Source organism: Homo sapiens, chromosome 6 (assembly GCF_000001405.40).
Source record: "Homo sapiens chromosome 6, GRCh38.p14 Primary Assembly".
NCBI classification, from domain to species: Eukaryota; Metazoa; Chordata; class Mammalia; order Primates; family Hominidae; genus Homo; species Homo sapiens.
In genome coordinates, this window is record NC_000006.12 from 7746538 (window position 1) to 7769872 (window position 23335).

Consider the following 23335-nt stretch of genomic DNA (forward strand, 5'->3'; position numbering starts at 1 on the left):
GACTGTTTAACCAAGAGGGGCAATTAGGTGACAAATTTGTGAATTGCACCCAAGAGATGAAAACTTGTGGAAAAAGTACTAATTCCAGTAACTAAAATCTGAAAGGTTACGATTTAAATAGACATTTAAATAGACTTAACCCGATCCTCCTGGAACTCTTTCCCTCATTCCTCCTTACAATTAAAAACACACCTTTGTGAGCTGGTTGCTTAGAATTAGGAGTGTCATCTGCCGTCACGGTGCAGACGGTATTCGCGTCTTTGAAGCTAGTTGGCCCACGGGAAACTTCATCAGTGAGCTGGGCCTTGTTCACAGGTGCTCAGCCACCTGAAATGACCAGATTGAAATCCAGCTTCATTTTCCACCTGGTTTGTCTCCACTCTGTTGGCCAACTCACACCTGTTCCAGGTAGCGTGAGAGAGAGCTGTCATCTCCTGGGGGTGGGGATTGGTCAGTGCCAGTTCAAACCGGTGACACACTCTCCTCCTTTCTACCTTCTGAACGAATCCCATAAGGCCTGGCTCTTAAGAAAGTTTTATTTACCGAGGACAATCCGCAAAACTTCATTACCTCGGTTCACAAAAACAAGGGCAGCCCTGCGTATGGGAGATGATTTAGAGAAGTTTAGATGTTCGATGTCAGTGTTTGCGGTAGGCAGGATTCCAGCCCCGTGGGCTTCGCCTCCTGGTGTTACATCTGTGAATATGCCACCTTATATGGCAAAAGGGAATTATGGTTGCTGAGCAGCTGGCCTTAAAATAGGGAGATTATCCTGGATTATTAATCACATAGGCCCTTATAAACACAGAAGAGGAAGGCAGAAGAATCAGAGGGATTTGATGGAAGAAGAGGCAAGAGGGACTCGAAACATGAGCACCTTTGAAGATGGAGGAAGGGGTCCCCAGGCCGAGGAATGCAGTGGCCTCTGGAAGCTGGGAAGGGCCCTGAGCTGACAGCCAGCAAAGAAATGGGGAGCCCAGCTCTGTACTTGTGAGGAGCTGGATTCTGCCAACAACCTGAATGAGCAAGGAAACATATCCTCCCTCTTCCCTCCAGATAGGAGCACAGTCCTGCTGACACCTGGTTTTCAGCACAGGGAGACCCCTGTTGGACATTTTTTTCTTTTTCAGACAAGGTCTTGCTCTGTTGCCCAGACTGGAGTGCAGCGGTACAATAATGGCTCACTGTAGCCTCAACATCCCGGGCTCAAGCGATCCTCTCGCCTCAGCCTCCCCAGTAGCTGAGAGTACAGGCATGCACTACCTTGACTAGCTAATTTTTTTTTTTTTGTAGAGATGGGGTTTCTCCATGTTGCCCAGGCTGGTCATGAACTCCTGGCCTCAAGCGATCCTCCTGCCTCAGCCTCCCAAAGTGCTGGGATTATAGGCGTGAGCCACTGTGCCAGGCTATGGACTTCTAACCTGCAGGCCTGTGAGAGAATACATTTGTGTTGTTCTGAGCTGCTCAGTTTCTGAAGGCAGCAATAAGAAATGAATACAGTGTTATTTATACAGGGCTTTGTTCCCTTGGAACCTTTTAAATTGGAGTGATCTGGGATGCTGGCATTTGATTGGCAGGTGCTGGAGTCAGACTGTGTTTGAATATGGGCCTTACCCCTTAGAGAGTGTTTGGTTTTCGGTGAGTTTTCCTCTCTGTGCTCCAGTTTAGCACTGTGAAATGGAAATAATAAATGCATTGGGTTCTCAGGGTGGTTGGGAGGATTGAGATAATACATGTAAAGAGCCTAGCCCAGTGGTTGGTACCTCTTAAGTACTCAGTAGTTAGAAGCTTTTATTAGAGTTGTTTGCAATAAGGGGCCATTAAAAAGATCTTCCTGTTCCATACCTGTCATACTATTTCAGACATCATTCTCTTATGCTAAGAGCAGGAAACCATCAAAAAGAAAACTGGAACAGTTTAGGCAGTGCTTACTGGGTTTCTGAGGTCTAGAAAGCACTTATATATGATGGACCCTCTGGCACTTGAGCAGCTCATGCTTATGAGAGAAACCTACGAGGCTGAAGCATTATGTCAATGCAGGGGAAAATGAAGTAGAACCCTTGGGGGCTATGCCAGTTTGGAGGACCACAAATACCCCGTGAATAAGCTCAGTTCCTACAGTCAGCTTCTGACTGGGGCGGAGATGTTTCCCATTATTAAGCTTACCGAGGTGAATGATCAAGATTCATTGCCAGTGTCCAGATAATCATCATGTCCTGAGAAATATTTCCAATTCCTTAGTCGTGCAATTTCAGAATGTCATGCTCCCATAATTTCCATAGTCCTCTAATGCTCTTGCATCTCACCATACCCCCATCTCTAGGATTGTGAATTTCCTGCTATGTTATGATGATGTCCTAATCCTGGAATCAGTAGAGGATGAATCTGTCAAAGCAAAAAATCGAGAAATCCTGTATTATTTAGCAGCATCAGGTGTCTTGGTAAAAGAGGAAAGACCTGTAGTACCACCATTTTGATCTTCCACATTGATGCTACTAGTATTCTACCCTTCAGGACAAGAGCTTAGCGCTTTCCTGCAGATTTCCATTGTCCACAGTGTGTTTCATCTACAAAAGGCAATCACTGATGAACCCTTGTACCTCCACCGGGGAGGGGTGGAGATCAGGATTCCACGTCACCAATATGATTTGCAGAGTATGAAGCTGTGCTTAGCTCGGATTGCCAGTATCAGGAAAATTCAGTATTTTTCTAACCAACTGTTGTTTTATCTTATGAATATTGAGACTCTTATAAATGAACATGTTTCTATATTCTTTGGTCACTTCAAAAGTCAGATCAACCTCTCTTTATCATATGGTATTTAGTATCCTATATTAACTGTATCTTATTTTCTTGCCCCATTTTCCCTTCATTCCTATTTCCACATATGTTCAATGTTTATTCCATAAAATGGTATTTCTATAAGTTGTCTCAGATCTATTTTCAGAACGAGGCAGGAGCAAAACGAATTACTGCTCAAAATCAATAATAAATGGTCAAAGGAACTATAGCCTGTTGTCATGGGAGCCAGTAGGTCCCACACCTATCTCTATGGTCATGCCTTTGGGACTCTCCTCTGAGGATGAGCCTACACCCTGTATTATGTCACCATATGTGTGGGGCTGGAGTCTTTTGCCAAGTGGTTATGTGTCAGGCACAGCCCTGAGTGCAGACGGGACACCGTGACATTGCCTGGTTGATTCATTGTGAAGGCATCACTACCAGGTTTGACTTGACATTTAACTTTCTTAAAGTATGGTTCATGGATAATGAGCATCAGAATCAATGGAGGGGCTTACTCCCAGAGATTTCAATTTAGTATGTCTGATCTGGGACCAAGGAATCCGCATTTTAAGAAGCATCCCAGATGGTTTTTAATCAAGTGGTTCATGGGCCAGATTTTGAGAAGTACTGCCTTAAAGGGTTGGTAGGATTTAAAGAGGCAGAGGTGTGCACTTCAGAGTATAGAACGGGTGGAAACAGAGGCACAGATTCTGGCAATGGGCACAGTGGGTGAGACAGGATGCTTAAGGGTGGGTGCCATGAACCCTGAGGGTGCTTTTACTCACTGTCAATGCCATTTGTAGATCTACATCAACATTGAAACATTCAACGTCAACATTTGAGCGTGCTAGCTCAAACATTTAACATGTTGTGTGCCCTTGAACATCTGCGTGCCTACTGTGTGCTGGCTGATTTGCCAGGTGCCAAGGATCCTGAAATACTAAGGCCACATTCGTCTAAGAGCATGCTGTTCCAAAGGAGAGGCTGACGTGTAGATACATGGAACTTCCGAACTGCAGAGGTACCATGATAGAGATATGTTTGGGGGAGTATCAATGAGGAAACGATAAGGGCAGGATGAGGAAGCAGAGGAGATCTGAAACTGAAAGCCGAGCAGATATTTTTATTCTTTGGAGTTTCTGAAATTGTGCAGTGCAGTGTTTTAGCTTAACATTCTCACAGTGACTTTTGCAATAACGATAACTTATTTTTATTGGATGGTTTGCTTGTGTGTTACCTGTCTTTTTGCTGCTTAATTAAATGACCTATATAAATATAGCAGCCATGACTAGGTGTATCTTGAGATTTTTCCAGCTGGTTCTGGAACTTGAAATTTTTTTTAAAAAAGTTAAAAGTCCTCTTTGACTTTTTATTCCCTAGTCTTAAAAACAAAATGACCTTTATTTGAAAGATTTAAAATGGCAAGATTTTAAATAACTTGGCTATTTTTTATTTCTTTTTAAGTCAGGTTTCCATGGTCATCAAACACTTTATGACTAAATATAAGATAACTTCCTCACTCTTGTCCACTTCTGCCCCATTCTGAGATGTTTGAGCTGTAATTCTGCCCACCTTGCTTCTTGTCCTGAACTGTATTAGCAGTGATGTTGGATGGATCCATCTCAGGATACAGCTTAAGTGACTCTAATTTAGAGTGAGAGCTAAAATTCTCAACCTACTTATCCTTGGCTACAACCCAAAGTTTCAAATGTTGTTGGATTACTCTCTTCCCGGCCATATTAAGCTCAGTGCCTTTGATGTAGCTTCAAGGCAGACTTGACCAAGTGGTATTGCCTCCCGCTGATATTTAGGTGGAAGCCAACACTATAAAAATGAACGTTTTACTAAGAGTACTCGCTCTACTACCTGCAAACCCAGCCAGTTGCTCTGCCAAATTGGTCAAAGAAAGAACTGGCTTGAGAATTGCAAAGTGTGTTCCTCTGGCAAAGAAATGGAGCTCAGATCAATCTCATGGGGCTCCCTAACTAAAATGTAGTAGACATGTCAAACACTTTAATTGGAAACTTCCCAAAAATACCCATCCCAAATGCTTAGTTTATTATAAAAGCAATTTTGTTAAGAAATGAATAACAAGGATGAATCTTTGATATCTTTTTAAGCCTTACTTTATTCTTCCACTAGCCCATGCACCTGAATTTCTAGGATACAATACCTAACAGTGCAGCAGATATTTCAGAGTATATAATTGGGTTGACACATATATTTTCTGCCTCGGCATTCTCTATAAGGTTGCAGAAAGATCTGGCGATCTGGATTACACAGAAACATCATTAAATTATATTTACAAATCTCTATGGAACAACCGTAGCATGTTAAGACCTATAATGGCCACAGAATTAGACATGGCTTCTGTCCAGTGGAGTCACTTCATTGGGCCAATTACAGATGAACTGGCAATCAGAAGATGCCCAGGGATCTCCTTAGCCTAATTTTCTTAGTTAGAATGTAAGATGTTTTCTTTGTTAGTCAAGTGAGACTGTTTTTCAAGAAGTCTAATCTGGACCTCTGAGTAATTGATGACATAAAATGATGCAGAATCTCAGAAGTTATTTAATGGTGTACCTTTGAATGGTGTATACATCTCCTTCAGCACAATTCTAAGCTGGGGTCCTTTAAGAGCTGCTTAAACGCTTCCAGCTACAGGAAACTCACTACTTCACAAACACACTTCATTTGAATTTTGTACTGTGATAGTTGATAGCTTTCTACTCAGTGGAATAATTTTCTACCTCCTTAAAACTTATTGGTCCTTGGTCATCCTTCTAGAGCAGGAGTTGGAACATTTTTCTTAAAGGGCGAAATGGTAAATATTTTCAGCTTTGCAGGTGTGATCTTTGTCTCAGCTACTCAACTCTGTCATGGCAGTGTGGAAGCAATACTTCAACAAACAGACATGGCTGTATTCCATTGAAACGTTATTTATAAAACTAGGTGGCTGGCTCATGAGCTGTAGCTTGGTGACTCTCATTTTAGACCTGTGTAATCTAGGTCCTGAAAATGAATTACTCAAACTCTTAATTCCAGGTGGGTTCCCTGACATATAAGGGGCACTTGCTCTCCCTTTGTATAGGCTTGATGAGTGAACTAAGAAAGTCTATCTAATGCCATTCAACTAATCTTATCAAAGTTTTTAAAGTCCTAGTAGAAATGCATTTGTAACTGGAATTATCTGTGGTTCTAAATACGTACCTCATGTTATTATGGAGTTCAACATAGGTTTTTTTTTTTTTTTTTTGCTTTTTAGAAGGAGGTCATTTTAATGCTATATAATTTGTTGTGTGTGCCAGAAAGCCATAACTTCAGGAAGGTGCTTTTAGTGTTCCATCATTGAGCTTTCTGGGATGGGAGGTGGCAATCTGGAGGTGAGAAAGATACAGGTGAACAAAAATCTTTGCCCTAAAAGTGTAGACTATTTTTATGGTTCTGAATACAGCCCTCCTTTCAGATCCGTGGATTATAATTTAGATATCAGCACAGAATAGCTATCTGAAGCATTGCTCATGTGTTTTCCCCCTTTTCTCTTGGCTCTTCTGTAGGGCTGTGGTAGTGCCAGCTTATTATCTGCTGGGCATAATAAACACCTACACCTAGCCTCCAGGGATCAAGAAACTGGGTCAGCCAGGAGTCAGCCTATCATGCTGCAGAAGCTGGTAATATTAAGCCCAGAACCAGCCTCATTTTAAGATTTTACATTATATAATGGTAAGAGCAATGCTGATGTTAAAAAAAAAATACTGGTTGGAGTCCAAAGTAATTTTAGACATTAAAGAAAGGTTTCAGAACATTTTAAGTAATGTTTATTAAAGCTAGCCCTGACCTCAATCAAGCACCTGCTACTTAATTGATCAAATGGTCACTGGTAAGCCCTGTCTCTTCTAAAGTGACTTCGCCCCAAGTCATCCACTGACCTTTGCTCAGCACTTTCTCCAGAGACGAGAGAGTGCACAAGAGGAAATGAAAAAACAGATTTGGTGGGAATTGTTGTTCCTGGTTGAAATGAAATGTATGTATCCCTGCTACCCAAATGTGGTCTGTGGACCAGCAGCAGCTGCCCCACTAGGGAGCGTGTCAGAAATGCAGCATCCCAGGCACCTTTAGATTAGAAACCTGCATTTACAAGACCCCTAGGTGATTCATAGGCACAGTAAGGTTCGAGAAGCACTGATCCAACCCACAGCCCTCCTTCTGCACAGCGGTAACCCAGCAGGGCCATCTTTGTTTCAGAAGCACCCATATTACAAAGAGCTTGAGTTATTCTGGGGAGGTAAGGTAAAGGAGAGAAGTCATACTTCAATGGCAGTGAGACTTTGCCTAGAAATCTACAAAATAACATTACTCTGAGTGCTAGAACTGTAAGTACTTCCATCACTCTGCTATACAGCCTTTTCTAAATAAGCATTAAAGGATATAGGTTTTCGTCTAACATCAATTTTTTTTGATATGTTGTGCTTTCTATTTGCATTCAGCTCAAAATATTTTTAAAATTCCCCTCGTGATTTCTTCTTTGACCTGTGGATTATTTAGAAGTATGCTGTTTAATTTCGAAATATTTGGGGATTTACTGATTTCTAGTTTAATTCCGTTGTAATGAGAGAACACTGTATGATATCAATCATTTTTAATTTTGGTCTTATTTTAGGGCCATAATATGGTTGATCTTGGTGGATGCTTCCTGTGCCCTTCAAAAGAATATGTGTTCTGTTGTTATTGGGTAGAGTGTTCAATAAATGGCGGTTAGGTCAAGTTAGTTGATAGTGTTGTTCTTTATTGTCTTTTTTTCTTTCTTTCTTTTTGAAACAGAGTCTTCATGTGTCATCCAGGCTGCAGTGCAGTGGTGCAATCACAGCTCACTGCAGCCTCTCCCTCCTGGGCTCAAGCGATCCTCCCATCTCAGCCTCCCGAGTAGCTGGGACTACAGGCACGTGCCACCATGCCTAATTTTTGTGTCTTTGGAAAGATCAGGTCTCTCCATGTTGCCTAGGTCTCAAACTCCTGAGCTCAAGCGATCTGCCCTCCTCGGCTTCCCAAAGCGCTGGGATTAGAGGCATGAGCCACCACGCCCAGCCCAAATCTTTACTGGCTTTCTTTGTACTTGCTCTATCAATTACTGGATGTTGAAATCTCCAACTATAATTAAGGATTTGTCTACTTCTTTTTTCAGTTCTGTCATTTATTTTTCCCCTTCCTGTGTTTTGAAGCCCTGTTCCTGGGAAATCCACATTTAGGACTGTTATGTCTCTGGATGAACTTGATTATTCTCTTTGTCCTTGATAATAGTCTTTGTTCAGTAGTCATCTTTGTCTGAAATTAATATGACCACTCTAGCTTTCTTTTCATTTGTGTGCACACGGCATAATGTTCTAACCTTTTTTGTTGTTGTTGTTTGTTTGTTTGAGACAGAGTCTCGCTCTATTGCCCAGGCTGGAGTGCAGTGGTGCGATCTCGGCTCACTGCAAGCTCCGCCCCCCAGGTTCAAGCCATTCTCCTACCTCAGCCCCCTGAGTAGCTGGGATTACAGGCACTTGCCACCACGCCCGGCTAATTTTTTTGTATTTTTAGTAGAGACCGGGTTTCACCGTGTTCTCCAGGATGATCTCCATCTCATGACCTCGTGATCTGCCTGCCTTGGCCTCCCAAAGTGCTGGGATTACAGGCGTGAGCCACCGCGCCCGGACTAATTTTCTAACCTTTTTAACTTTTAACTTATCTGTGTCTTTAGTCTTTATATATAAAGTGGGTTTCTCATAAATAACATAGAGTTAGGTCTTGTTTATTTCTTGAAGCAACCTAACAATTTCTGCCTTTTAATTGGTGTGTTTAGAATATTTACATTTAATGTGATTATTGATGTGTCTGGGTGTAAATCTACCATCTTGCTATTTGTTTTCTATTTGTCCCATCTGTTCTTTGTTCCCTTCCCCCCTTTTTCTGCCTTCTTTTGGATTGTGTATTTTTTGTGATTTTATTTTATTTCCACTACTGGTTTAGACCTTTATGTTTTATTTATTTTTAGTAGTTGCTCTAAGGTTTATAGTATATGTGCTTAACTTACCACAGTCTGTTTTTAAATATTTTACCACTTCACGTAGAATGTAAGAATTTTACAACAGTATACTTCAATTTCCTTCTTCTGTTCTTTGTACTATTGTTTTCATATATTTTATTTCTGTTTATGTTACAAAGCCCATAATACCCTGTTAGTGTTTGCATCAAGCAGTCAATCACGTTTTAAATAAATTAAAAATGAGAAAAAGTCTCTTACGTATACCCACCTATTTACCATTTCTCACACTCTTTATTCCTTTTTGTAGATCAACATTTTTTTTTAATCTAGAATCATGTTCCTTCTGCTTGAAGAACTTCTGTTAACTTTTCATGTAATACTTGTCTACTGGTGATAAATCCCCTCAGCTTTTATTTATCTGAAAAAATTCTCTATCTGTGTTGTGGAAAGATATTCACTGGGTCTATAATTTGAGATTGACAGTATTTATTTCCCTTGCAGCACTTTATAGACAGTGTTTTACTGACTTCTACCCTGGATGGCCTGATGACATCTTGGTTCCTTTGTACATAAATTGTCTTCTGTTATATGGCTGATTTTTAAGATTTTCTCTTTATCACTGGTTTTCAGAAATGGTTTTATCATGTGCCTTGGTGTTGTTTTATTTAGGTTTCTTCTGCTTGAGGCTCTTTGAGTTTCTATCTGTGAGTTTATAGTTTTATTTAAATTCAGAAAAATTTGGTCATTACTTCTTCAAGTCACTTTTTGGCTTTCCTCTTTCGTCACCTCCTTCTGGGTTTCAAATTACCCATAGGCTGGACTTCTTTATATCTCACGCTTCAGTGTTTTGTTTTGTTTTGTTTCCTCTCTGTGTTGTCTCATTTGGGCAAGTTTCTATTGCTAAGACATCAAGTTCACTAATATTTTCTTTTTCAGTATCTAAACTGCTGTTAATACCATCTAATGCATTTTTCATTTGACTAAAAGTTTCATTTACTTATTTTGTGTGTCTTTCATGTATTTCCTTCTCATGCTCATGCTTTTCTTTGTATTCTTGAGCATATATTTATGATTTATAATACCAATTGTAAGGTCCTTTCCTTAGTCATTCTATCACCTCTGTTATTTCTGAGTCTGTTTTTATGGATTGATTTTTCTTTTAGTTATGAGTTATTTTCCTACATCTTCAAATGCTCACTAATTTTTGAGCATGCAAAGATGCTGTGTGCTGGATTTTGTTATATTCCTTTTTAAAAAGTGAGCACGCAAAGATGCTGTGTGCTGGATTTTGTTATATTCCTTTTTAAAAAGTTAGATTTTATTCTTCTGTGCAACGAAGTAACTTGCAGATCAATTTGATCCTTTTGAACTTTGCTTTCAAGCTTTGTTATGGTGGATTCAGACAGGCCTTTATTTTAGGATTAATTTATCCCCTCCTAAGACACATTCTTTTAAGAACTCTACCTAATACTCCATATATTATGAGGTGACTACATTCTGGTTCTCCAGCACGCAAACTTTCCCCAGCCTTGTGTAAACTGGTAATTTTTTTTCCTGCTGCTTTCCCATAGTTCTTTCCTTGCCTTGGAGGTTTTCTTTGTACACAAGCAGTTCAGAACTCAGCCAAAGGTTAGAGAAGACCCCTCTGTAGATCTTTGGAGCGCTCTCTCTATGTAGCACTCTCTTTTCCAGTATTTAGCCCTGAAAATTTAGATGCCTTGGCCTTCCCAAACTCCAATCTCTGTCTTCTAAACTCAATGAGATTGTTGGACCCTATTTGGTAGCCCTCTCCCTGGGCTGCCACGTAAACATATAAGTATCCTTCCATTTGTAAAATACATAGCATAGTGTGTTAGTTTCCTAAATCCGCCACAAGTGGATGACTTTAAACAACAAAGTTTATTCTCTCATAGTTCAGGAGGCTAGAAGTCTGAAACCAAGGTGTCAGCAGGCAGTGCTCCCCCTGAAGACTCTAGGAAGGATTTTGTTCATGCCTTTCTCTGAGCTTCTGGTGTTGCTGGCAATCCTTGTCTTGTAGAAGCATCACTTCCATCTCTACCTCGGCCATCATAGGACATTCTCCCTATGCCTGCTTATGTGTCTCTTTTTCTTCCCTTATGAGGACATTAGTCAGATTGGATTAAGGGCCCACCCTACTCCAGTATGACCTCATCTTAATTATATCAACAAGGATGCTATTTCCAAATAATGTCACATTCTGAGGTTCTGGGAAGGACGTGAATTTTGGGGGGACACTATTCAACCTAGTACCTATGGCAACTGTGAGTCCCAAAGTTGCTTTGATCCCTTGATAAGGAAATTCTTTATGCTGAGATAAGACTAGTTTCAGATATGCTGCCTGCATCATTTCCAGACTGCTCTCCCTACGTCTCTGCACCCTACCTGGTAATCTGTGAGTGTTCTTTCATAATTATACAATGTATCCACAGCTTCATCTTCATAGATCAGGAATGCCCATTTCCTTGCAGGTTCCCTGTCTATTCCTGAACTTCAGGGCAGTGAGAAAATTCCATCTTGTGTGCCACTGAATGCCCTTCGTAGCTTCAGTCATAACTGTTCATCATCACTCTCTCACCCTGCTAAAATGCCCACTCTGAAAGTTTGTCTATTTCAGAATCTTGCCTCTAATTATCTTCACAAGTTTCCTTTGTGATGCACTGCCCTAGAAGTGGCTCATTTTCCATATCAAAGTTCTGCAGATGAGAAACAGAATTATAGTAGATTACTCTTGCTAGTAGAGAAGAATGCCCCTGCATGGGGAAGATGCCAATCAAACATAACATTTTCCGCAAACGTTTTGCATATTGCCTTATGTTATAGTCCAGCTTCTTTCTGGAAAGATGACAGTCCATACGGGCCCCAGCATCTTTGTGAATTCGTACTGAGAATGTGAATTCGCAGATTGAGTAGCCACCAGACTTAGACAAGTGATCTCCCAGCTATCCAGGCAAGGAGCTGGATAAAGAGATGATGATGGTCACCAAGGTCAGAAATAACTGGCAGAATCAGGAATAGATTCAGTGAGTTTTGGCTCACAACTCACCACCAGGCATTTTTTTTCAAGACAAAGAAATCCATCTGGGTTTCTGTTGGGTCCTTGCAGGACCTGACTAGATTTGTGTTTGGAAAATTGCCATACCAACAACTACGGTTTGCAACCAAGCCTATTTAAAACAAGATCAACAAAACCCCTCTCTTCCCTACAGTGCCTTGTGGTATTTGAGTGTTAATTTTGACTTCTTTTGAATAGCTGTGGTGGCAGTGGCTAAAGGGTGAAGCTTTAAGATGCCTTAGAGGATCAGTCATAGAAGGCGGCTTGCCAAGCCTGACACCGAAGAAAAACGCAGCCCTTGGGTCCGGCTGTGCCTCGCAATTCTGGCATCCAGTCTTTTCTCTGACCCAACCACAAACCCCTTCACCCTCTCTCCACCCCCTTCCACATGCTCACACGCACATGAGGTGCAGCCACTGTCCCCTTCTCTGTGTGCTCCCTTGTCCACGGATGCATTTGTGGTTGGAGGGGAGTCGGTGCAGCCATGGTAGAATAGAGGTCCTCGTGTAAGACTAACATGAGTGGTCTATTTACTCATCTGTGCTGCCCACTAGACCAAGAGCTCCTAAGAGCAGAGACTGTCTTATTCTTGTTTATATCTTCAATGTCCAGCACAGTGTCTGCTCAGGACAGCCATTGAATTATCTCCTGAATGGTTAGATGGTATAAGGAAGGCTTCCCTTAAAGAATATCTTGCCGCTGTCTTGGGATTTGACATTCAATGAATCAGGAGATGATTCTTGAAGTTTCATATCCGTTAAGTTCCTCATTACCATATATGTATGTATGTATGCTTGATACTAGTAATATCATCAATCTTACCAGGAACGTGGTGTCCCCAGGAAGGTCATACATTGCCACAGAATCTGGCCAAATGGTTCCTTGAGCAGTTCCACGTGGAGGGGACGTCTGTGCACATGAGTAGATAAAAAATGCAAGCAATGTTGTTGAAAGTTAGAACTCAGCTTTTTTCCCCTTGAGGTCCTCGGCCACCACTCAGCTGCTGAAATCCAGAACACTTTGGTTCTAGTCCTGGTTCTGACATGAATGCCCTGGTGACCTTCGATTCACTTAACCTTTCCAGACCCTAGTTTTGCCTCATCAGCAAAACACATGCTCTTTAAGGCCCTTATAACCCTAAACTCTTGCCTTGAACCTGCTTTGAGTTTTAAGTAATGAACACATGAGACTAAACAAATCAGATTTTAAAAGCTTGAGTGAAATAAAAGAATTTAAAAAAAAGAAGTGAATTTTAAAGACTAATTTCTTTCTTCTTCTTTTTTTTTTTTTTTTTTTTTTTTGGAGACTGAATCTCACTCTGTTGCCCAGGCTGGAGTGCGGTGGCACAATCTCAACTCACTGCGGCCTCTGCCTCCCAGGTTCAAGCAGTTCTCCTGCCTTAGCCTCCCAAGTAGCTGGGATTACAGGTGCCAGCCACCATGCCTGGCTAATTTTTGTATTTTTAGTAGAGATGGGGTTTCACCACATTGGCCAGGCTAGTCTCAGAACTCCTGACCTCAGGTGATCTGCCTACCTTGGCCTCCCAAAGTGCTGGGATTACAGGTGTGAGCCACTACACCTGGCCTCTTTCTTAATTTTATCTAAGAAAGCAGAATTTCACATCTTAATTTTTATTTTTCAACTTTTTTTTTTTTTTTTTTTTTAGATACAAGATCTCGCTCTGTCACCCAGGCTGGAGTACAGCGATTATAGCTTACTGCAGCCTCGAACTCCTGGCTTCAAGTAATCCTCCCACCCCAGTCTCCCAAATTGCTGGGATTATAGGAATGAGCCAGTGTACCTGACCTTCAAGTATATTTTTTGAGGTGGTATGATAGACTAGTGAAATTAAAACAGGAACTGTGAAATTATAATTTATTTGTTCCTTTTCCTAAATACCTTTGTCAGTCTGCATGTGAATTAAAGTAATTATTTACTTTATATCAGAGTAGAGCAAGGAACACCGTCTTTCCACCTTGACTTTGCTGCTCTGGGTGACTTTGGGCAAGTAGTTTAGCTCTCTTGGACCATAGTTTTACTTATTTATTTATTTATTTGTTTCTTTGAGACAGAGTCTTACTCTGTCACCCAGGCTGGAGTGCAGTGGTGCAGTCTCAGCTCTCTGCAACCTTCACCTCCCGGGTTCCAGCAATTCTCCCTGCCTCAGCCTCCCAAGTAGCTGGGATTACAGACGCCTGCCACCACACCCAGCTAATTTTTGTATTTTTAGTAGAGATGGGGTTTCACCATGTTAGCCAGGCTGGTCTCAAACTTCTGACCTCAGGTGATCTGCCTGCCTTAGCCTCCCAAAGTGCGGGGATTACAGGCGTGAGCCACCGTGCCTGGCTGGACCGTAGTGTTTTAACATGTGAAAGTAGATGTCTGGTGAATAAAAGTTAAAGTAAAGTTTTGAATGCATCAAAAACGTCTCTTTGAAATAAGTGCTGTTATGCGGAGCCTCCAAAATGAGTTTTCTTCACCTCGTGCTGTAATTAGTGAGTAGAAAGTCTCCAGTTAATTTTGTAAAATATAAGCCATTACGGACATTGTTCTTTCTCCCTGGATTAACAACTCCAGCAGATCTGAATGGCAATAGCACATATTAGTTGAACGAGGGTCAGTTTGGCCTTTGCCTTATATTCGGCATTATCGTTACAATGCGATACAATATCCTCTTCAAGATTCAAGCTTTCTTCTCTTATTTTATGCTTTTCTATGTCACATTTCTCCAAGACTATCTTTGGATTACTTATACACACAGCTGTTTTATGAGACTCTGTTGGAGCTTATGAGTCAGATTACTGTTACCAAAATGTTTGTGAAATCACTTCTTAAGTCATATATTTGCATCATGTACAACCTGTTTGACAATCAAAACATTATGCCCTTCAGCACTTGGCTGGTTATGATAGTAAGTTTTCCAGTAGAGTGTTCCAGCAGAATATAATTGGGCAGTAGACAGAAGGAGCACAGTATATTATTTTAACATAGAATTCCAAGTGCATTTCTCTTCTTGTAAGATTGAGAAGGACACATAATATTCTGTAATAGACTCAGGGTGATCAATTAATAGCATAGAGAAATTCCAGTGCAGCTGGGGCATTACCAAGTGCAGCCCTGGAGCCAACAGGGGTGGATGGAAGGATGGAATGGCCGGAACACAAGACGCAGACATGGCCACTGACACAGCACTGCCTGTCTGTGTTGGTCAGTATCTCAGGCACCTGCTGACACTGGCTGTTCTTTACCTGCTCTTGGCCAACCTTCAAGGCCCATCTCAAATGGTGGCTCCTTCAAAAAGGCTTCATTGATATCTTCAGAGTAGACTTAGAGACTCCCTTTCCTCAAAGTCTTTACGGCATTTTCTTTGTACTTTCTGATCGCTCAGTTGTCATTTGTCATTTGTTATTGTCTCATTGCCCCCACTTGTCCGTAACTTCCTTGAGGACAAGGAATGTGTCTTACTCCCCTTGGATTTCTTTTCTTTTCTTTTTTTGAGACGGAGTCTGACTCTGTTGCCCAGGCTGGAGTGTAGTGGTGTGATCTCAGCTCACTGCAGTGGCGTGATCTCAGCTCACTGCAACCTCCACTTTCTGAGCTCGAGCAATTCTCCTGCCTCAGCCTCCCGAGTAGCTGGGATTACAGGCGCCCGCCACCATGTCTGGCTAATTTTTGTATTTTTAGTAGAAATGGGGTTTCACCATGGTGGCCAGGCTGGTCTCGAACTCCTGACCTCAAATGATCCACCTACCTCAGCCTCCCAAAGTGCTGGCATTACAGGTCTGAGCCACTGCACCTGGCCAACCTTGGATTTCTTAAAAGGAAGGGGTTGTATCTTGATTAAGGTGTGAGTGGTCAAATGTCAATGCAGTGTTATTATATGTCATTTTTCAAAGGACACATCCAAATTCAGCCAGTGACATCCTGGGTTGACACTTGAAGGTCTGCTTTAATGATCTTGAAGGTTTGCTTTAATGATCTTGAAGGTTTGCTTTAATAGTCTTTCGCAGTAGTCCTGGGCACTGACTTTTGCTAAGGCATGACGTGGGGGAATTCAAACTTTTATGCAGTCAGCCTTGCCCTCTTGGAGTTTATGATATTATCAGGGACAATATACAAATATATAACATATATACATATGTCCTAAGTGCTAGCTGAGTAAAACGGCACATAAATTCTATAGAAATATAAGCTTCATCCCCAGCTTACTAAATAAATATTCTTTCTAGCTCTGAACATAATTGCATCTGTAACAATCCTTATATTCTGATTAAATAAAAAGATGCAACTCAATGTGCATGTCTGAGTGTGTGTCCACGCATTTTAAGTGTTTTTCCAGTGCCCATAATATGTCTTATCAACATATTGATTTTCTGTCCATATTCTCGCAGTTCTTCTCCAGGGGATAGGAGTATGTTGCTAGAGGGGATCTTAATAGTTGGCTTGATGTTTAAGCCGCCGTGCGACGCAGATGTGCAGCCAGCTGAAGTCCGTTTTGCAATGACGGTATCCTGGGAGTCTGGAGGAGAAACCTTTTAACGACTGTGAGATGTAGCCACAGCCCATAAAACATGGCCGTGCGGCAGGCGCCCAGCTCTCCACCTGACCTGTAAACTCCTATGCGCCTTTGCATCCCCACACTCTGCTTTGCAGATACTCTTATGAATTCTGCAAGTCTTGGTAAATAGGTTAGCTTTTAGAAACCTGTGTTTTAAAGTACAAAGCATGCATCTCAGATGCGAGTTTAGAACTTGGAGAAAGTTCTCCCGTGTTTTCAGCCTCCACTGTCTGCAGCCAACCCCAGGGGAGGAATAGTATGGAAGAGAACTCAAAGAAATGAAAGCACAACATACCCCTTTACTTTGAAACAAGAGGCCTGTAAGTATTCATGTAAAAAGTCATGGTAAAATTCTGTGTTCTTACAGAATGATGATCCTCTTATTTTCAAAGTTGTGGGGAGGCACTCTTATGGGAATAAAAAGACTCCAAAAACAAAACAAGAAGAAAAAGTATTTTTCTACACAGAAAAACTTCAAGAAAACATCCCATCGCCTTTTATGTCCTAGGCTTTTATCCTTATTCTTTTAAAACACCCATTAAAAAGAAAGAGGCTGGCGGGTTTCATGCTAAAAGCTATTTGCTACAGGGGACAATTTGCCAGATATGAAAGTGTGGTTTGTGGGTGTTGACATTCGGGTTTGTCCTATCATGGCTGGGCAGAACCTCTGATGGACTCCACTGGACTATTTACTGGGCTGACCCCTCTGAGAAGTGGGGACACTGCCCCTCCATTTTAAGGAAATGGCAGGCTCAGATGGTGAATGCAGGTGCAGTCCTTGGCCCTGCTAAAAGGAAAGAAAAAAAAATCTATAGAATGTGGAGCAAATAATACAAGTTTGCCCTCCATGGTGACCTTCTCTCTGCCCACCCTCTTGGCTCACATCAATGGCAAGTTATAATTGGACTACAAGGACCAATATATTGTGTAGTCTAGAGGGGAAAATGCCAAAAGAAAAACTCCGTTGGATCAAGCGTATGTGTCCTGCGTTCATTTCTAGGTCTGTAAACAAACACAGCTGTTGAGTGAAGGATCCGTCTTCAGAAATGGTGAAAAAACAGCCATGCCCTGCCAGTGAGAGCGCAGCAGGGGAGAGTTGTTCCAGGGCTTGGGAGGAGCAGGCGAGGCGCAGCAGGGCCGGGACCATGTGTCTCCTCCGTATTCCAGGAGAGGCCATTCTGTGTTTTCAGCTGAGGCTGTTGGAGCATGGAGAATGATGAGTGTGGGAAGATTGGGAGGGAAGAGGATTCTGAAATTTCATCTGCTTTCCTCAAATTAAACCTTTGTTTAACATACAAGACCTTGGCTGCCTTTTTCTGGAGGTGGTGGAAGGGAACTTGTATCTTTTTCTCGACTAATTTTAAAATAATCTGCAACTTGGAGCAAAAGACATTAGAAACTCACGGGTCCAGCAGCTTGTATTTATATCAGTTATTGCTAATTTATATCAATTACTGCTAAGCTGAAGTTTTGGGCCTCACTCCTGTCTCTTTTCTCTCTCTACAGCTAAAACTTAGGTAATATCTATATTGTGTAGAGAACGTGCTACTGCGATGGACCTGCCATTTGCACATCAGATGTTCGTTCTGATGGTGTTATATGGAGGTCAGATTTCTGCACCATGATGGACCTCTGGCTTTTGGTTGCCTCCCAGTCCCCAATTCTTTTTATTAAAAAAATTTTTTTAGGGGCAGGGTCTCGCTATGTTGCCCATGCCGGATTCAAACTCTTGGACTCAAGACGTCCTCCCATCTCAGCCTCTGGAGTAGCTGGGACTACAGGTATGCGCCCCCATGTCCGGCTGCCCTTCACATTTTTATTACCGGAAGTGCAGGTCCCTCAGCAGTAGCTGATGCAGGACGAGGCCCAAGGGAGAGTAGGGGAGTGAGGTCGAGGAGGGATTTACTTTATGCCTGGAGATCTTCTTAGCTTGGCAGTTGATGGCTTGAGGCTTCCCTTCATGCCTTCATTTATATAATAGACATTTTCATAATACTCTGTGCAGGTAATTCGTTGACTTCCTGGCCAAATTTTTTCTCGATAGTGGGAGACTGGTCGAAAGTTTGAACTTTGGCTTTTTGCAGTTGTATTCCTCCCTGCTCCCACTTGCAGTGTCGTTTTGAGTGAATCACTGCCCAGGCATGGACCATTCCCGAGACTTGTAGGCCTCGAGTTTCCCAGTGATTGGTTGATACTTCTGCCTTCTGATTGGTTGGGTGAGTTGGCTGGTGCAGGGATGCTGATGAGCCCAGGATTGTGGATTTATTCCCCCAAAAGTTTAAATTAGTTTCCCAGAGAGGGGGAAACCCCAGTTTGACCACATTTATTATTTTATTTGCTGCCTCAGGATTGTAGGAGGGACAATGTAATAATGTAATAATCTAATAATTGGACCAACTCAGCAGTACAGGTAAAGAACAAAAGATTCCCCTCAAAAACAAAACAATACAAAGCTAGGTCAATCCTTGCTTGGTGCAGTTAGGTACCTTGCCCCGTGACCACACCTGATATTAATAAGGGATGCGTAAGTGTATCAAAAACACACATTAACCAAGGTACATTTCTCGCCATGTCAGCAGCATCATCTCCCAGGGGGAGGGACCACCCTGATTCCTGCTTCTCTATCACTAATTGGCTTGACGCTCTTTTAGCACATGCTGGTAGACGGCAAGCATGTTTCTTGTGGCTGCTGTCACAAATTACCACAAACCTAGTGGCTTACAACAATCCACGGTTATTCTCTCACAGCTGTGTAAAGCAGAGGTCTGGCATGAGCCTCACTGGATTAAGATCAAGGTGCCGGCAGGGCCGTGTTCCTTCTGGAGGCTCTAGGGGAGAATCCATTTCCTCGCTGTTTCCAGTTCCTAGTAACCGCTTGCATTCCTTGGCTTGTGATACCCTCCTTCAAGTTCAGATTTCTCTCCGTTACTCCCACTTCCATCACCACATTTCCTTCTCTGACTCTCCTGCCTCCTGCATTCCCTTTGTGGGCCCAGCTGAATAATCCAGATCCTTTCTCCATCTCAAAAATCTTACCTTAAGCATTCCTGGAAGATATTCACAGCTTCCAGGGATCAGGATGAGGACATCTTTTTTTGAGCGGCAGGGAAATGGCCTTTCTCCATCGGCCACAATAAACTTAATGTCTTCACAATGACTCACAGTTTTTAAAGGGGAGATTCTTTCTGCATTTAGTGTGTGCTTCCAGTTTTTTTTTGTTTGTTTTTTATTTGGCAGATGGAAGAAAGATCCTATGAATGTTGAGGACTGTATCTTGTCTGCTGATTTTCTGAGTGGCTTTGCAATCTACCTCTAATAATGAGCTAAATAAAGTGGATTATAAGAAATCACTAGGCTGGGTGTGGTGGCTTACACCTGTAGTCCCAACATTTTGGGAGGCTGAAGTGGAAGGATTGCTTGAGACCAGGAGTTTGAAAACCAGCCTGGGCAACATAGTGGGACCCTGTCTCTACAAAAATGTTTTTAAAAAATTAACCAGATGTGGTGGTGCACACCTGTAGTCCTAGCTACTTGGGAGGCTGAGGCAGGAGAATCACTTGAACCTGGAAGATCAAGGCTGCAGTGAGCCAAGATCGTGCCACTGCACTCCAGCCTGGGCATCAGAGTGAGATCTTGTCTCATAAAAAATAAAATAAATAAATAAAAAGAAAACACTAATTAGAAGGTATGTAATTCATAGACAATTTCCTTGCTCCTAAGTGTAGACTTGTTTTAAAGAATAGCCTACATCATTAAATAAAATCAGTTATATATTTTGAAGGCCTATCTTCTATGTCTTCATGGTACATGTGAAGACATTTTAGCTATCATTCCTATCCTATTGGTGAATTTATTGCTCTATTTCAAAAAAGTCAAACAAAATCAAAAAGAATCAAATACCTTCAGACACTTAGGATTGGCCCAGTAAGGTATAAATCAAATGGATATGGAATAGTATAATTTTTATTTTTATTTTTTATTTATTTATTTATTTTTTTAAATGATAGTTTGTTTGTTTTTTTTTTTTGAGACGGAGTCTCGCTCTGTCACCCAGGCTGGGGTGCAGTGGCGCGATCTCGGTGCACTGCAAGCTCCACCTCCCGGGTTCACGCCATTCTCCTGCCTCAGCTCTCCGAGTAGCTGGGACTACAGGTGCCGGCCACCACACCCGGCTAATTTTTTGTATTTTTAGGAGAGACGGGGTTTCACCGCGGTCTCGATCTCCTGACCTCGTGATCCACCCGCCTTGGCCTCCCAAAGTGCTGGGATTACAAGCATGAGTCACAGCGCCTGGCGGAATAGTATAATTTTTAAAGATGTTTTATGCTTATTGTGCTTTTTATAAAAGATAGCAACAATCTTCCAATGAGGTCATTCATTTCTGTTGGTACAGTTAGAATGTGTGTCTCTGGGTTGGTCTCTTTGAGTTTCTTTTGGCATAGAGCAGTATTCTCACCCTGCATGATCATCAGAGCACCTGAGATGCTTCGTAAAGTGTAGGTCTGAGCCCCACCACGGAGATTTGGATACAGTAGGTTATGAGGGGGGAGCGTCGAGCTTCTCAGGAAACCTAGTTCTCAGCTGTTTTTCTCCAGATACAAATCTGTAACTTTTTGTATTTATCTTAGGGTGAAGCTTTCATACTGTGAGCTCATTCAAGCCAGAGATAATTTCTTATCCAGGAACCAGTTGGCAAATCTTTTGTACCTGCAGTTAGTCCTACTTATTTTAATTTCCTGATTTGATAATTCCAACAGCCCTGCTACGTCTGAGTCTGCTTTTGGTGCTTGCTGTGTCTCTTGTGTTTTTTGCTCTTAGTGTGCCTTGTAATTTTTGTTGAGAGCTGGACATGATATCCTAGGTGAAAGGAACTGCTGTAGCTAGGCCTTTGGTGAAGTGGAGGTAAGGTGTTGTGGAGGGGAAGCCCTCTGTGGTCTATGATTAGGTCTGGGTCTCTAATGAGCCTGTGCCCTGGTCTCAGCTTTTTTCTTTAATGACCCTGTGCCCTGGGCTCAGTGGGTCTCAGGTTTTTTTCTCCCCGCTTGGGTGGGACAGGATGGCTGGAGATAGGTATTTTCCTTCTCTTCCTGGGGAGGCAAGAGCGGGCAGGAAGTGCGCATGTCCCTTCCTCCAGGTGGTTTTGGCTCTGGTTTATTAGTTTTTCCTGAGGGCAGGCCTTGTTAAGAAGAACGGAGTGCTCTGGTGTATTGCAAACCATTCCCTTTCCTCTCCCACTGTGAAGTATGAAAGGATTTTTCTCCCACATTCACTTGGAGGACCTGGTCCAGCTCCTGGAAGTAAAACTTGTGAAAGCATGCCCCTCCCATGACTGGGTCGCCCTGGAGTTTTTCACTCTCAGTCTTGTCCACGCTGAGCCTCCAGCAATTCGCCACTTAGGATTCAAGGTTTCTCTGGCGTTGGTTCCTTTGGAGGTTTCTGCTCTGGTAAGTTTGAGTCTTTGTTTTGCCCTGGGCAGAGTGGGGTCCTCTGGGTGTTTCCAGGCCATGGGTTCTGGTCTCTTTGCTTCTATGTCCCAAGGCTGTCTTCTGGTATTTGCCACCTGCTTCTGAGCATGGGTCTCAAGCCTCGAAATGGCCTCACCTCAGCGTCCTCAACATATGTGTTCACCATTCTTATTTTTGCCCCGTTCTTATTGACTGTAGTGGTTCCTCTGAAAAAAAGTCGCTCCACCCAGCCTGGCATCTTTTTCTCACTTCTGTCCAGTCTGCACAGGGACGCAAGGTGTTCCTCTTTATTTCAACAGCTTTCTAAGAGTGCCGATTTAATCAATCCTGCATCATTACTTTGAGCGGGAAAGGAACATTTCTCCCTCTCTTGAATTCCCCTAACACTTTGTGGCTTTCTTGTTGTACTCATCACAGCTTGCCATGATCTGTCATATATTATAGTTACGTGTGTCCTTTTCTACCACTTTATGAACTATAAAACCAGGAGGCCAGAGACTGAACCTTAACCAATTGCTGTTACTTCCAGGGCCAGAAATGATATATTGCAGTCAACTTGCATAACAGCTTTACTGACTAGATACAACAGTTCAAAAGGAGTATACGCTTCTCCCCAAAACTAAGCACATTCACTGAGTATGTGACGTGTTAATATGCTACTGCAGGTAGGAAAAACAAAACCCAAAGCAAAAAAGTTTTGCAAATGTCCCAGGTAATTTCTAAATGAGACTGGCTAAAGGTAGGGGAATTGAGCTAGCTGTTGGGAAGGACAAAGTGGAACTACACCGATCAGCTCTTCAGAGCCCAGACTTACCAAAATGATGAGCAACCTGAGAATTGTTTCAGCCAGTGCCTCCCAAACTTTGTTGGAATCACCTGGAGAGCTTTGAAAAGCCCAAGTTACACCCCATCCAAATCAGGATGCCTGGGGGGGTGGGAGTTTGGCATCAGCATGTTTAAAAAGCTCCCCAGGTGATTCTAGCATGCAGCAGAGTTTGCTATCGCCTGGCTTTTGCATCAGATGCATTGAGTAGGGGTCGAGTTCTGCACAGGTGTATTTGACCTTACGCCCTTGTTAAGACCTCTGCAGTGTTTTTGTTTTTCAGCATTTTCTGGCCTTTGAATTTAAAACTTGAAAGACTTAACTGGAAGGATCACACGTAAATCAAGCATAGGAAAACCCTTATGATAGTTGCCTTAGGGTTTTGGAATTTCAGGGGGAAGAAACAATTTAGAAAAACAATTCTTGTTACAATGTGCAAATTGTAATTTCACAATTATTTTTAAAAGTCAAACGACAATCTATGATGTAAAGAGGTTGATCTTGAATTTTTGAGTCCTACCGCATGTCTGCAAATGCAGATAGTTTTTCTTTCCAATATTCCTAACTTGTCTTTTCATTGTCTAGAACCTTGTCAAATAGATCATAA

The 23335-nt window shown here is 42.1% G+C and overlaps 1 protein-coding gene across 1 annotated transcript in view, besides 1 other annotated feature; it reads left to right on the forward strand.

Annotated features, from left to right (window-relative positions):
* BMP6 (bone morphogenetic protein 6) overlaps positions 1 to 23335 on the forward strand; it is a 155630-nt gene that overhangs the window by 20439 nt on the left and 111856 nt on the right. The window lies entirely within an intron of this gene.
* Positions 17013 to 18212: an enhancer, noted in NCBI's record as "BRD4-independent group 4 enhancer chr6:7763783-7764982 (GRCh37/hg19 assembly coordinates)". NCBI's record gives its function as "activates an origin of replication core promoter dependent on BRD2, P300/CBP, MED14 and CDK7 cofactors, and independent of BRD4, by STARR-seq in HCT116 cells {active_cell/tissue: HCT116}" and the evidence as "EXISTENCE:reporter gene assay evidence [ECO:0000049][PMID:35650434]".